Source organism: Homo sapiens, chromosome 15 (assembly GCF_000001405.40).
Source record: "Homo sapiens chromosome 15, GRCh38.p14 Primary Assembly".
Taxonomy (NCBI): domain Eukaryota; kingdom Metazoa; phylum Chordata; class Mammalia; order Primates; family Hominidae; genus Homo; species Homo sapiens.
In genome coordinates this window covers 58,409,424-58,425,119 of record NC_000015.10, presented here as the reverse complement: position 1 = coordinate 58,425,119, position 15,696 = coordinate 58,409,424, and the positions used below count along the sequence as shown (strand labels likewise).

The window sequence follows — 15,696 nt, the reverse complement described above, 5'->3', positions numbered from 1 at the left end:
CTCCAACTTGTTGTGTGACCTTGGGCAAATTCTGTAACCTATCTCTGCCTGTTTATTCCCCCGTCAAATGGGGTTATGAAGGTTAAATTATTATCACATGAAAATGCTTATAACAACTCTCTGCATAGTCAAGCCTCTTTTGATTTTCTTAACAAATAAGGTAGGAATTATTTTCCCCATTTTACAGATGAGAAAACTGAGGTTCGGATATTCCTTACGCAAGGTCACATATCTAATTGATATAGATTGGATATAAGGACGCTAGGTCCCTGGAAGATCTAATATTCTGATTCCCAGAGTCTCAAGTTATGCAGCCAGGGAGCAAAGAGTTGAGATCCCCTTTCTTCTTATTTTTATGTTTCCTGGTCTGTGTTGGCCCACGGACTCTCCTTATCAGGATTTCAGCTGCCAGATTGTAGAACAATTGGGAAAATCATCATCACAACAACAACACCCTAGAACCAGAGCAGTCTTTTTTATGACTAGATACTGTGGAACCAGCAATGCATTTTATGATCTTAGAAATTCCAGTAGGATGGAAAACCTATTTTCACTCTTTGTATTATGCTTTGAAGCAAAAGGAAATAAAGATTCAAGTTGGCTTTGAACACCAGGTAGATAGTGAGTATTGTTGGCTCCGTAAAGTTTGCCCAGGGTTTTCCCCTTTGTGGGGAAGAGGGGGAGTGTAGACTAGAATTCGTGAAGTGTCTACTCTGTGTCTGCTTCCTCCAGCTGCTGGGGTGCTGGCCAGGCTTTGTGACTGGTGACCATGCTGGCTCCTGAGGGAGACTCCCCGCAAGCCATGAACTGAACTAGCTGCTTGCAACAAGCAAGGACAGTTTGGGGAGGGGGGCACCAGCACACTGGCTGTGTCTCTTGGTCCTAGTGCTGCCAACCATGGGGTGTTCAGGGGCACAGTCCTCACCCTGGGTATCAGGGACGGCTGGGCACTGGTCAGATTGCAACGGCCCAAGCCTCCCTGCAGCAGGATGCCACGTCGTCATCTCACAAAGGCTTGCTGAGTTCAGCACACAGGATCCATGGCTGCCGGAAACCTGGAATTAATTCCCCTTTATTCTCTTCATTCCCAATGATGTGTTTCAAGTTCTGAAGAGCTGCCAATGAGTCATCATTTTTCTGAAGACAGGGTATCTTGCTGACATGGTTCATCATTTTTCCTAGGCAGGCCTAAAAGTCAGGAGTTAACAATTCAGGAGCCAGCGTCCAAAGTGCCTGCACAGTGCCAGAATCTCCATGTGATCTCATTCACACTTTAGGAAGAATCCTATGATGTAGCATGATTTCCCCCAGGGGAAACTGAGGCTCAGGGAGGTTACTGAATTGCCCAAATACATACTGTAGTAAGTGGTGGAATGAGACTTGAATGATGTTTGACTTCAGAGTCCATACAACAAAAAGTAGTTTTGCCAAGTATAGTAGGGATTGGCTGTGAGATCTTTGTGTATCAGTTGCTTAAAAAGATGGAATTGTGTCATGCTCTTGCTCTGCGTATAAAGACATATATCGTGCATTTCATTTATATATGAAAGGGAATTTATTAAGGAGTATTGACTCACACGATCACAAGGTAAAGTCCCATGATTGGTCGTCTGCAAGTTGAGGAGCAAGGAAGCCAGTGGTGGGTCAGCTCGAGTTCCCAAACCTCAAAAGTAGGGAAGCCGACATTGCAGCCTTCAATCTGTGGACAAAGGCCAAGAGCTCCTGGCAAGCGACTGGTGTAAGTCCAAGAGTCCAAAAGCTGAAGAACTTGGAGTTTGATGTTTGAGGGCAGGAAGCATCCAGCATGGGAGAATGGTGAAGTCTGGAAGACTCAGCAAGTCAAGTCCTTCCCATCTTCTTCCTGCTTTATTCTAGCCAAACTGGCAGCTGATTAGATGGTGCCCACCCAGATTGAGGGTGGGTCTGCCTCTCCCAGTCCATTGACTCAAATTTTACTAATATTTCCTTTGGCAATACCCTCACAGACACACCCAGGAAAAGTATTTTGCATCCTTCGATCCAATCAATTTGACATTCAATATTAACCATCACATCACATGTTTATTATTATTTTTAAAACAAATGTTCTCAAGCCTTTTCTCAGCTATTTAATGGCGATAGCTCTGAGATAAACTACGAGACATAGCAGAAGTTAGAAATAATGGAAACATTATAATGGGACATAATCATATAATTTATATGCCAATTACTTTTCCTCAATCAACAGTAAAGAAGACCAGCCAGGAAGAGGGGACCGGGGCCTTTGGCCATGATGCTTTGTCCCGGATAGAGCAGAGTGTTTGAAAGGAAGTTGTCAGGACAAGGCTGTGCTTCTCAGGACCCAACTGAGAACATCATCAGTTATCCAATTACGCCTGAAGTCATTCATTTGAGTTAGATCATGCCTGGGGTCCTTCAGAAAGTAACAAGCAAGATACTTTTGACATGCTTTCATAATTCCATTAAGAGATAATTTTTTAAAAAACGAAGGTAAAATCATGACTCTCAAATATAAAAACGAGTACATGGTAAATATTTTACTTAACTAATTAATGAGGCAAGTGGTAAGGGTGTTATAACCAGTTCAAAGGAGAAGCCAAAAAACCACACAAGTTTATATGAGTAAAGAAATGTTGGCCAGGTGTGGTGGCTCATGCCTGTAATACCAGCACTCTGGGAGGCCGAGGCGGGCGGATCACGAGGTCAGGAGATCGAGACCATCCTGGCTAACACGGCGAAACCCCATCTCTACTAAAAATACAAAAAATTAGCCGGGCGTGGTGGTGGGCGCCTGTAGTCCCAGCTACTTGGGAGGCTGAAGCAGGGAATGGCGGGAAGCCGGGAGGCGGAGCTTGCAGTGAGCCTAGATCGCGCCACTGCACCCCAGCCTGGGCGACAGAGCGAGACTCCGTCTCAAAAAAAAAAAAAGAAAAAAAAAGTTGCAATGAAGGTACAAATGGCAAATGGATACAGAAGTAGCTTTTTCTGCAGTGTGGCAGTGAAGTCAGTGTAACTTCTACAGTATAGGACAGAATTTGCATTTTGCATTGCTATTAGTTATCTGCAATTTACAGAGTTGCAAAATGCTTCAAGGGCAATGAAAGCTAGAATCAAATAACCCAGGGAGGCTGTGCCGTATGTAGACAATACATCCTTTTCCATGGAAATACAAAATGTTCCCTATATTTAGTATTGTTACAAAATGGTAAAGGAAGTATTTAGCTACAGAATTCTGATGATAACAGGATAAGGTTCTTTCTGGAGGAAAAAGCTGTCTCTTGCTGCATTTTTGCCTCCTGAGTGAAGACTCTGATCGCTGAGAACCGGATTTCGAAGCTTGGTTTCTCGGTTTTTAGTCCCATTAAGCAGGCAGATTATTTAATAGCTGGCACCTCAGTTTCCTCATTTTAAAATAGGAGTAGTAAAATTATTTGCCTCACAGGGCTTGGGGGGAGATAAAATGAGAAAAACCATGAACTGTGCATACCATAGTGCCCAATAAATACGTATCAGCCATTAGTGTTTTTATGTATTACTGCAGTTTTTCGGCATGGTTTTTATTTCTCCCATCCCTCACCTGATCCTTCCCTTTCTTGTTTCCTGCCCATTTAACTGAAGTAGTAAAGAATAGGAGACTTATTTACAATGTTTTAAAGAAAGTATAGAGTCTATGCTTCCTGTTCTTGATTTTAAAATCAAGTTGTTATGTGTTCCTTTCTATTTAAAAAAGAAAGCAAGCTGGGTGTGGTGGCTCATGGCTGAGCCCAGGAGTTTGAGACCTGCCTGGGCAGCATAGTGAGACCCTGTTTCTATAAAAAATTTTTTAAAAAATTAGCCAGTGTGGCAGTGCACAGCTGTAGTCCCAGTTACTTGGGAGGCTGAGGTGGGAGGATGGCTTGAGCCCAGAAGGTCAAGACTGCGGTAAGCTGTGATCATGCCACTGCACTCCAGCTTGGGCAATAGAACAAGATCCTGTCTCTATCTTAAACAAACAAACAAAAAACAAAAAAATAACTAAAGAAAAGAAAAATAGAAAGCATCTTTACCCCCAATATTGCTTTCTTGTTTTTGAGTAATTCTTGTCACCTGTCTTAGCCCAGCTAACTCTGAATTTAAACAAGTGATTCATTTTCTCAGGTTATATATTAATCACCAGAGAAAACAGGTTGGGAGAGTGGGAAAGACCCTCTTTGGGGTCTTCTCAGCCCAGCTGGGGTTAGGAGGCCAAGGCCAGGAGGTGACACACTGGAGCCAGGTCATCCAGAGCTCCTCGGTGAGCCTCTCCCCCATCTGCATTCTCAGACCCCAGGGGCCATGTCCACGGGCCAGAGAGTCTGTGAGCAGCATGTGCCCGGTACCAGAGAAAACTCTACTCAGCCCCGTCCAGAAGAGTTGGTATAAACGTGCCTTTGCAAAGTTTGTTTTTCACTTTTGGGTCTGATGGAGGGGGAATTCTTCAACCTCAGAGGGGAATTCCTGTATGTCTAGGGTCAGGGTGCCTGATGGATTGACCCTATCAGCTCCTATTTCAAATCTGGCACCCCAAGAAACTTCCAGATGATTTGGGTGAAGCTCCCAGGATCTCCCTCTTTGCTCAACAGCCTGGATTCTTCGAGGAAAAAGAAGGCATTTGAGCAAGGATTGGGGAAGAAGCTTCGCCTCTGGGCAAAGTTCAGGGATAGGAGGACAAAGCTATCACAGTGTCTAGGCTTTCTTTACATGTATGGCAACTGGAGTGACACCTGGAGAGAGCCATCTTCACTCCACAGTTCTATTCCTATCACCGAATCTGTCAGGCTCTGGGGAGGACTCCTAGAGAGCAAAACATACTTTCCACACATTAGCAAACAGCATGATTCGATCTCAGGGGTCAGCCAGGAGCAGAACACAGGCAGATGCATACAGGGCTCCCTGCTTCCAGGACTATTTCTTTCTGTTACATATCATCTCTAAAGCAAAATTGCTTGTTTCAGCTCTTGATAGAAATGTAACTTCCCTTGTCCATTTTCCACAGGCAGTGTGTACACAAGGAAGGAAATGGCAGGCTGTTCATATGCAGCAAGATCCACACTTGGCCAAACCTGGGGTCACAGAGATGGACATGGAATCGAGGGCAGAAGATCTGGGTTTGAGTCCAGCAGTGCTTTAGGTAAGTCGTAATCTTTACACAACGGGGATAATGAAACCTGGGATGCCTGCCTCACAAGGTCATAAGCAGAAGAGATGAGGCCGGGCGCAGTGGCTCATGCCTGTAATCCCAGCACTCTGGGAGGCCGATGAGGGCGGATTACTTGAGGTCAGGAGTTCAAGACCAGCCTGGCCAACATGGTGAAACCCTATCTCTACTAAAAAAACAAAAATAAGCTGGGTGTGGTGGTGTGGGCCTGTAATCCCAGCTACTTGGGAGGCTGAGGCAGGAGAATCTCTTGAACCAGGGAGGTGGAGGTTGCAGTGAGCTGAGATTGGGCCACTGCACTCCAGCCCCGGCAACAGAGAGAGACTCTGTCTCAAAAAAAAAATAAAAAAGAAGAAGAAGAAGAGATGGTAGATGCCCAAACATCCTTAAGCAATGAAAAGACCCATGTAAAGCAGAGGCCCCAGGCTGGGATGAGTGGATGAGTACATTGGTGGAGCAAAAAGATCCTGAGATTTGGGAGCCCAAGAGGTTCTGCTTTCTGGCATCAGACCAGAGTGCACCTTCTTGTCCCAGATTCCCAGGGTGACCACCAACAGATGGACAGCTCTGGCTTCTGGCAGGGCAGGGCAGGGCTCTTGGAGGTACCCACCTTCAGTGGGCTGTCTCACAATAATTCCTTCAGGCTTTGGAGATGGTGGTCAGGGCCAGCTGAGATCTGGTGGCCTGCAAGTGAGCTGAGGGCTACTGCAATTAGGCAATTCCTGGGGACCTCACTGATAAGCTCTGGTAGATCAAGCCTGGATGTTTTGTTATTGCATAGGGGTTAATATGATGACCAAGTTCACCTTGGGCTTCTCTCTGGATGTCTTTGCTGGTCTCTCTTTCCTTCATTGCCCTCTCTGACTGAGGTCAGAGTCCTTGAATGGCCCTCAAGCTACCCCTACCCCACTCCCAGGAAAACCTCTGCTCTGGCCTCTTCTCTCCCTGGAGCCCATGCTGAGAGAGCCTGTGGCTCCTCTCACCTGCATAAATAGGTGAGATCACCCAGACACTGCCTCTGGGTGGAAAAGAGAAGGTGTCAAGGGACTGAGCCCTGGGTGTTCCAACATTTAGAAGTAAAGGAGATGAAGAGGGACCTTTCTCCTTTAGCCAAATTACTTCTTAAGAATCGATTCTTGGCTGGGTGAGGTGGCTCATGCCTGTAATCCCAGCACTTTGGGAGGCCGAGGCGGGCGGATCACCTGAGGTTGGGAGTTCAACACTAGCCTGACCAACATGGGGAAACCCTGTCTCTACTAAAAATACAAAAAAATTAGCTAGGTGTGGTATCGCATGCCTGTAACCCCAGCTACTTGGGAGGCTGAGGCAGGAGAATCACTTGAACCCAGGAGGTGGAGGTTGTGGTGAGGCAGAGATCACGCCATTGCACTCCAGCTTGGGCAACAAGAACGTGAAACTCTGTCTCAAAAAAAAAAAAGAAAAGAAAAAAAAGAATCAATTCTTAGTGGTAACATTTCTGGTAAAAGGACATGAACAATATGGTTATAAATGAAGGTATGGATAAATTTCTGGGTAGCTCCACCATCAATGGATATTAGCATTTGACATTTTTTCTTGTTGTTCCATTAGAATATGTAAACTGGCATCTCCAGACTGCTTCCATTTACATGTCTTTGATTTCTGGCAAGAATTAACATTTCCCCACTATGTTTATCTACTAATTGTATGCCCCTTATGGGAATTGTCCAGTCTTTGACCCATTTATCTTTTGGAATCTTGACATTTATTTTACAAATTTGAATTAGTTATTTATGATGGATCTTAATTCTTTGTAATGTTTGATAGAAATATTTTCCCTCTTAAAAAATCTTCAGTAATGCTAATTTTTATAGTGCAATCATTTCAATTGCTTCAAAGCTGAGAAAGTTAAAATTACCCCAGAGAGCTGATAAACTCTCTTTCCAGTTGTCTGCAAGTTCTATCATAATTTGATTTTATATTTAAATCTTTAATCAACCAAAGCTTATTTTGTTGCACGTTTTATTTTTAATAACTTTTCTATTATAAAATCAATAAATGTTTATTATTGTAAAATAGGAAAATAAAGAAGAACAAAAAGAAAAACATACATAGGTCTGTGATTTCACATTTAGAGATAAGCACTGTTGACATTTTGATGTGGATATCCCCAAGTCATTTTTTCTATGTATACAATTATTTAAAAAAAATAACTGTAAACACACTGTACAAAGTGTTTAAATACCTGTGTATTAACAACACATTAATGGCATATTTCAGGGGCATTAAATATTCTTTTAAAACATTATTTGAAATAGCTACAGAGTACAGTTACACTCTATAGATGTACCATAATTGGCTTAATTCCCTATTGTTTTTTCATTAACTGTATTTAAGATAACACTATTATGAACAATGCTATTATAAACATATGCATAAATCTTGGTCCACATGTATGATTTTCTTTGTATAAATTATTTTTTTAGTAGCTTAAAAAAATTTTAGATTCTGAGGGAACATGTGCAGGTTTGTCACATGGGTATATTGTGTGATGCCGAGGTTTGAGCTTCTAATGGTTCCATTGCCCAAGTAGTGAATATTGTACCCGATAGGTTTTTTTAACCTTTGTCCCCCTCTCCTTCTCACCCCTTTTAGAATGCCACTGTCTATTATTTCCATCTTTATGTCCACTTGTACTCAATGTTTAGCTCCCACTTATAAGTGAGAACGTGCAGTGTTTATCTGCTTTTGTGTTAATTTGCTTAGGATAATGACCTTCAGCTGTAGCCATGTTGCTGCAAAGGATGTGATTTTGTTCTTTTTTATGGCTGCGTAGTATTCCTTAAAAATAATACTACAGATCATATATGTACCACGTTTTCCTTTGTATAAATTTCTTAAAGTAGAATTGCTAAGGCAAAGGTTTTATATCTAGGTATCTATATCTACCTATATATTTTGCCTTTACATATACACTGCTACGTTAAGTAAATTTCTGTCATTTTAAGTACTCATTAGCAGTGAGTGTACTCCTCCTCTGTCCTATCCTCCACCCTTGTTAACATTAGCTATTAACATTTTTGTAATTTTATGCTAAATTGATAAGCCAAAATGGTATGTGCATTTTTAAATTTTTCTTTAAAACCAATGGGTTGAAGTTGAATTTACCACCACTTCCATTTTTATTGCCTTTTTTCTTTCTTTATGAATTATCTGTTCATGATATTTATATATTTTACATACTTTATATGTTTTTATATGTAAAAACTGAGGTGCTCACTTAAGAAATTATAATGATTTCAAACACACGCATGCGTATAATGCATAGTTTTGAATACCACCTACTTCCCAGCTCCATCAAATCCTAATATTTTGCTGTACTTGCTTCCTATTTTTGCTAAAAAATAGAGTGCTGTACCTGTATAACTGTGTATCTCTTCTCAAGCCTGATCTTATTTTTCCTGTCTCAGAGGCAACGCCACCCTGAGTTTGGTGTCTTTCATTCTCATCTCTGTGTGTATATGTTTGCAGCATATGTATGTAGCTACGAAAAATATACAGTAGTTCCTCAGTATCTGTGTGGGATTGGTTCCAGGACCACCCACTGATGCTCAAGTCCCTGATACAAAATGGTGTAGTGTTTGCATATAACCTATGCACATTCTGTCATATGCTGTAAATCACCTCTAGATTACTTATAATACTTAATACAATGCCTATACATCCCTTCATTTGCCTGGTTTTAACATGGTACTCAGGATGTGGCAAATTCAAGTTTTGCCTTTTGGAATTTTGTATAATTTTCCCCCCAAATATTTTGCATCCTCGGTTGATTGAATCTATGGATGTGGAATCCCATGGATATAGAGGGATGATTGTACCATTATTTTGTATGTTTTCAAACTTTTATACTCTACACATCTATCTGCAACTTGTTTTGTCACTCAGCAGTGTATTTTCGAGATTTATCTCTGTTGATAAAACACCTACAAATGGTCCCATTTTAAGAAAGTATCAGAATTTGTTCATTGGGTTGATGGATACTTGTGTTATTTAGTTTTTTCATTTTCCTATTACAATATTGCAGTAGACATTGCATCATCCACAAGTGAAAGCTTCTAGAGTTTATTCCTAGAAGTGAAATTGCTGGATTGTAAGATATATGTCCCATCAGAGTTAGTAAGATGTTGACAATTTATTCTTCAAATAAATTACTTCCGTGAAAGTATCGTTGGCAAAATGTGAGTGTTCCTTCAGTTTTTCCACCTCATCACCAACACTTGAGGAGTGTCAGATTATTTAATTTTCACCAGTTTGATGGATGTAAAATGGTATCTCATTGTTTTAATTTTAAATTTTCTGATTACTGGTGAGGTTGAACATTTTCTTACGTGTGTGATTGTTCATTCAAATTTCTGTTGCTGAGAATAGCTTATTCATATCTTTTGTCCTTATTTCTATTAGTTCATTGCAGATATCCTCCCAGTTTGCATTTTATCTTTCATATCGCCTGTAATGTCTTGTTTCACAGAGTTTACATTTTTGTTTAATGAGATTTACACAGTCTTTCCCTTCAGGAATATCCTTAATGTCTTCATTTCTTCAATTTTCCTTTTTTTTTTTTTTTTTTTTTTGAGATGGAGTCTTGCTCTGTTGCCCATGCTGGAGTGCAATGGCGTGATCTCTGCTCACTGCAACCTCCACCTCCCGGGTTCATGTGATTCTCCTGCCTCAGCCTCGTGAGCAGCTGGGATTACAGGCATGCACCACCACACCCAGCCATTTTTTTTTTTTTTTTTTTTTTTTGTATTTTTTAGTAGAGACGGGGTTTCACCATGTTGGTCAGGCTGGTCTTGAACTCCTGACCTTGTGATCCACCAGCCTTGGCCTCCCAAAGTGCTGGGATTACAGGCATGAGCCACTGGGTCCAGCCCAAATAGTAATTCCTTTACAAAAGATATTCTGTGATTTGTTATAATCTTCTGGCATCAGTAGAATTTACCTTAATTAGTGGCTACATGCTATTGTTTTAATTTATAGCTGTATTTTATAAGCTCAGTTAAAAATGATTTTTCTGCCTATGCTCCTTGAGTAACCCATGGATAGATAAAATTTATTGATCAATAAAATTTAGCAAATAGACAGTATGCACAAGCCATTCCTGCCTTTTAGGTCTTTAGTAGATGTTGCTAATTGCCTGCATTATTTTCTTCATCTGTGTATTCATATATTCACTTATTCAGCAGCTGTTTTGGGAAAATCTGCTAATATCTTTGAGCCTGGTTCTAATCATTTCGAGCCAGTTTTATAGGAATTGGCACTTGTGCACATTTGCCATCCTAAGACCGTGTGTTTATGTGTGTGTGCGCCTGTGTGGTATTTCTCACAGGTTTGTGGATGGGGATAATACTCATCTCTTAGAATGAATTGGGTATCAGATCTTGTTTTTCTGTGATTTGGAACTGATTACATAATACAGAAAAATCTGTTTCTTGAGTATGTAGTAATATTGTTCAGTAAATTTGTTGAGGTCATAATATTTCTTGTGGTAGATGAGATTTTTTTAAATAACAGCTTTTCAGTTTCCTTTGCCTTCATCATTATTTTCATGTTATCTACATTTTCTCTTGCCAGTTAATATTTTGTGTTGTCCATTTGGCTAAGCATTTCAAGTTGATTATCATAAATTTTGCATTGCAATCATTTATATTTTAAAATCTTTTGTATCGGTTGTTAAATCACTAGCCTTGTTTTTAATTTTGTTGATTTATACCTTTTCTTTTATTTATTGTATTTCCAAGGGATTGATCTATCTTATAATCTTCTCACAGAATGAGCATCTAAATTTATGTATTATTTCCACTGATTTCCTCTTTTCTAGTTTATTTCTGTCCTTACTCTTTATTATTATCTATTTTCCTTTATATTGACTGTCTTCATAAGATTTTAAGTCAAATGTTTATTTCATATTTCTAAAATAAAAGCACATAGATTTACGCCTTAACTTCTGGGCTCTGATTTATACAAAGCCCCCTCCCTTTTGATATGGGGTGTTTTCAATTTTATAAACATCTCAAAAGTTGTTATCATGTTCTTAATTATCTACTTCACTGGTCCCTAACATTTTTGGCACCAGGGACCAGTTTTGTGGGAGACAGTTTTTCCATGAATGGGGGTGGATGCGTGATGGTTTCAGAATGATTTGAGCATATTGCATTTATTGTGTACTTTATTTCCATTATTATTACATTGTTAATATATAATGAAATAATGATATAACTATAATCTACTCACCGTAATGTAGAATAAGTGGGAGGCCTGAGATTGTTTGCCTGAAACTAGATGGTCCTGTTTGGGGGTGATGGGAGACAGTGACAGATCATCAGGCATTAGATTCTCATAAGGACCATGCAATCTAGATTCCTCACAGGCACAGTTCACAATAGGGTTTGTGGTCCTATGAGAATCTAATGCCACTGCTGATCTGACAGGAGGCGGAGTTTAGTGTGAATGTGACTGATGCGTAGCGACTGTAAATACAGATAAAGCTCTGCTGCTCACCTCCTGCTGTGTGGCCAGGTTCCTAACAGGCCACACACTGGTACTGGGGGTTGGAGACCCCTGTTCTACTTGAACTTGTAGTTTAGGAAAGTTTTTGTGGTTGTTAGACATTGATACCCATTAATTTGTTGCTGCTGTAATTTTTTATTAATATTTTAATATAATTTTAAACTTACAGAAATGTTAAAAGACTAGTATGAACTCCTATACACCCTTTACCTAGGTGCACTGTTGGTTTGTATTTTTCCCTAGTTATCATTCACTCTGTCTTTATGGATATGTGAATGTTTTTCTGAACAATTTGAGAGTAAGCTGCATACATACATATATATCTAAATACTTCAATATATATTTCTGGACACAAATATTTTCTTTTATAAAATTCAAGAAATTTAACAGTAAAATCAGGAAATTTCATGATACCATATGATTAATCCCACCATCCACATTCAAATTGTCAGTTATCCCAATATTGTGTTTTTTAATATATATAAAACATATATTAAAAACATATATATAAAACATATATAAATATAAAATATATGTGTGTTTTATATATGTGTGTGCGTATACGTGTATATATGTAGAAAGACAGAAATTGAGGGTATTTTAGAATTTACAATGACAGACAAGAAACTGAGATGGCTGTATGCCTACCGCAACCACCATCTGTAGGCCACCCAAGAGTAAATATTTATTTTCTTCTTGTACTCTGTTTTTCAGAAGTTCATGTTTATTTTCAAATTTACTATTTTTTATTATTCACATACTATATATTCATAGTAGAAAAGATAAAGCAATATAACAAAAATTGGCAGAAATATCAGTGCACAGAGATAACCACTGTTAGTATTTAGATGAATATTTTATAGACTTTTGCTTTCAATCGACAAAAACTCTAGATACTTTTTCTAGTTAAATATGAGTACATTAAAAATGGAGTTATATTGTACGGCTTACGGTTTTAACTCTCTTTTAAGTCTTAGTTTATTTGACATACTTATAGGTAATCTTCATAACAACTTTGCAAGGTAGAGCCTCATTTTTAGATGAGGAATCCAAGGTTCAGAGAGGTTCAGTAAACTGCCCAGGTCACACTGCAGTAAGGAATGTAGTTTATAATCTAAACCCCGAACTGTTTGCTGCAAAGGCTCTTGGTTAGATTATTCTTTTGCCCAAGGCTCCTTTCATTGCTTTTACTTATTCACATTTAGCTTTATTGCATGTGGTGAGAAAATATGTATATTTTTTCCTCTTGATTCAATTTTTAGGGCCTTATTTGAGAGTTAGTATATATGTACCAATGCCCCCATATGGAAAAAAATGTGTAATCTATGTTGGTATTGAGTTCAGTGTATGTCTATTGGTTCTAACTTATCAATTGTATAACATAACCTCTATTGTCTATTTTTGTCACGTCTTCAATGTCTTCTAAATTTTTGTCTATTTAAATTTGTCTTTATTTTTTACTCTTGTCTATTTTTTTCTTAGCCTTGAAATGAATTAAACTCTCCCTTTACAATTGCTTGTTTTTTATTCTATTTCTCTTTGCATTTCTGACTTTAGTAACCTCTGTCTTCACAGTTGATTTTCTATTTTTTATCATAATCAGGAGCTTCTTTGTATCCTCTCCCTGTGTTTTTGGCTTCAAAATCTCTTTTATATGCTATCAACTTTACCAACTATTTTCTTTTTGTCGTATGAGTTTCCTCATTAAACCTTTTTATTTTAGCATTTCTGCATTTTTTGGGTAACAGATTCCTATTTTTAAGCAACATACGTATTGTTGGGTCTTATGTTTTAATCCAATATGAGAATTTGTCTTTTTAGAAATCAATGGCCTAAGGCCGGGCGCGGTGGCTCACGCCTGTAATCCCAGCACTTTGGGAGGCCGAGGTGGGCGGATCACAATGTCAGGAGATCAAGACCATCCTGGCTAACACGATAAAACCCCGTCTCTACTAAAAATACAAAAAATTAGCCGGGCCTGGTGGCGGGTGCCTGTAGTCCCAGCTACTCGGGAGGCTGAGGCAGGAGAATGGCGTGAACCCGGGAGGTGGAGCTGTGGCAGTGAGCCGAGATGTTGCCACTGCACTCCAGCCTGGGTGACAGAGTGAGACTCCGTCTCAAAAAAAAAAAAAAAGAAATCAATGGCCTAAATATATAAAGTTCTTTGGGGAGAAGCTAGTGTATTGATATGAGATGGGCTCCCAGCTACTAGCTGTGGACTTTCTACAAGTTCCTTAAATACCCTGTGAGGAAGCTACTTACAGGCGTCTTTATCTGTAAAATAATGTTAATAAGCACACCAACGTGATAGAGTTGCTTCGAAGATTAAATGAGATCAAGAGCAATCAGAAATAGAAGCATATTAAAGCATATTAAACTGATTATTTGTAAAATGCAATTGTCAATATTTGCTATGATAGACATTATGTCTGGAAATACCATCCAAAGCAAGTTTCTTGGCAGTTAGAAAGCAAGTTGGTTAAACGATGATCTATGCTCAAAATGGGGATAATCAGTTCTATACTTTTCTCCAACCATATTTTAAATTTTTCTTTGAGATAATGGGAATAACTTACAAGAAAAACTGCTGAGAAGCAGTGGTCCAAAGCCTTTTTAGAAGCTCTCAGGGTTCAGTTCAAGTTGTCCATCTCCATTTCTGGCTGCACCTGGAGCTTCACAGCTTGACTTAAATTCGGCCATGTCAGGAATCACTCACTGCCTTGCTTTCCATTTAGTTAATTAAGTGCTTAGGTTTACAAATAAGTTATTTGCTCTCATGACGGGTATGGAAGCTGCAGGCTTTGCTGTGCCTTGGCAATTCTCATCAGGCGTGGAAAAACTGAAACTAAGAAAAACCAACCAAGCGATGATAGATTTTCCACTTCCTGGATTGTGTGACTTGCTCATCCAATGAAAGGCAATGAGGGTGGGGTGGGGGGCAACCAGAGATGAGGACTGATTCTCAGCTTGTTGTTCTCCTCAGCAGTCCTCCAGCCCCTGTACAGCTGGAACCTCTGCATCAGTGAAAGCTGCTAGGAATTCAAAGTGCGTTCACATTCACTTCTGCTCCTCAGGATCAGAGGCAGTGAGGAAAGCTAAAAAAAAGTCTGAGGTTTAAATTGGAACCCATTTTTAACTTTTCAAATGTTCTTGGTATTTTAAGATCCAGAAAACCTTAAATCAGACAATTCTATATTACCAAACTGAAGAATAGTCTATAATATCATAATCTGATATGCTCCAGACTGACCTGATTTATTTTTACTTGTATGAACTTCAAATCTGATGGCTTTTATTTGATCCCTCAGAGGATGCTGTAGGTCCATTTCCCATCTGATGCAATAGAGGTGTCTTTTTTTTTTTTTTTTTTTTAAACTTCTCTGATAATAATCATCATCTGGTGTCTTGTTACACAAATGTTTCTAAGTTCCTCCCTAGAGATTCTGCTTCAGTGGGTCTGGGATGGGGCCTCAGATTTGTGGTCTCTTTTTCTGTTTGTTTGTTTGTTTTTTTGAGACAGAGTCTCACTCTGTCATCCAGGCTGGAGTGCAGTGGCGCGATCTTGGCTTACTGCAACCTCCACCTCCTAGGTTCAAGTGATTTTCCTGCCTCAGCCTCCTGCTTAGCTGGGACTACAGACACACACCACCACACCCGGCTAATTTTTGTATTTTTAGTAGAGACGGTGTTCTACCATGTTGGCCAGGCTGGCCTCAAACTCCTCATCTCAAGTGATCCACCCACCTCGGCCTCCCAAAGTGCTGAGATTACAGGCATGAGCCATCGTGCCCAGCCGGATTTGTGTTCTTAACATTAGCTTGGGCAACAGTGGAGTAGACTGAGGGGATAGATTCTACTTTTACAATTAGAAAGCCTTGGGCTCAAGTCCTGGGTCTTTCACTTGCTCGTTATGTGGTCTTGCACAAATTACTTAATCTTCCTCAATCTCATCTGAAAAACAACTGGAGATA

At 39.6% G+C, this 15,696-nt stretch overlaps 2 annotated features.

Annotated features, from left to right (window-relative positions):
- Positions 727–776: an enhancer, noted in NCBI's record as "active region_9470". NCBI's record gives its function as "activates an Ori minimal core promoter by ATAC-STARR-seq in GM12878 lymphoblastoid cells {active_cell/tissue: GM12878}" and the evidence as "EXISTENCE:reporter gene assay evidence [ECO:0000049][PMID:35858748]".
- Positions 14,356–14,650: a silencer, noted in NCBI's record as "tiled region #6038; K562 Repressive non-DNase unmatched - State 2:TssF". NCBI's record gives its function as "represses a minimal TATA promoter and a strong SV40 promoter by Sharpr-MPRA in K562 cells {active_cell/tissue: K562}" and the evidence as "EXISTENCE:reporter gene assay evidence [ECO:0000049][PMID:27701403]".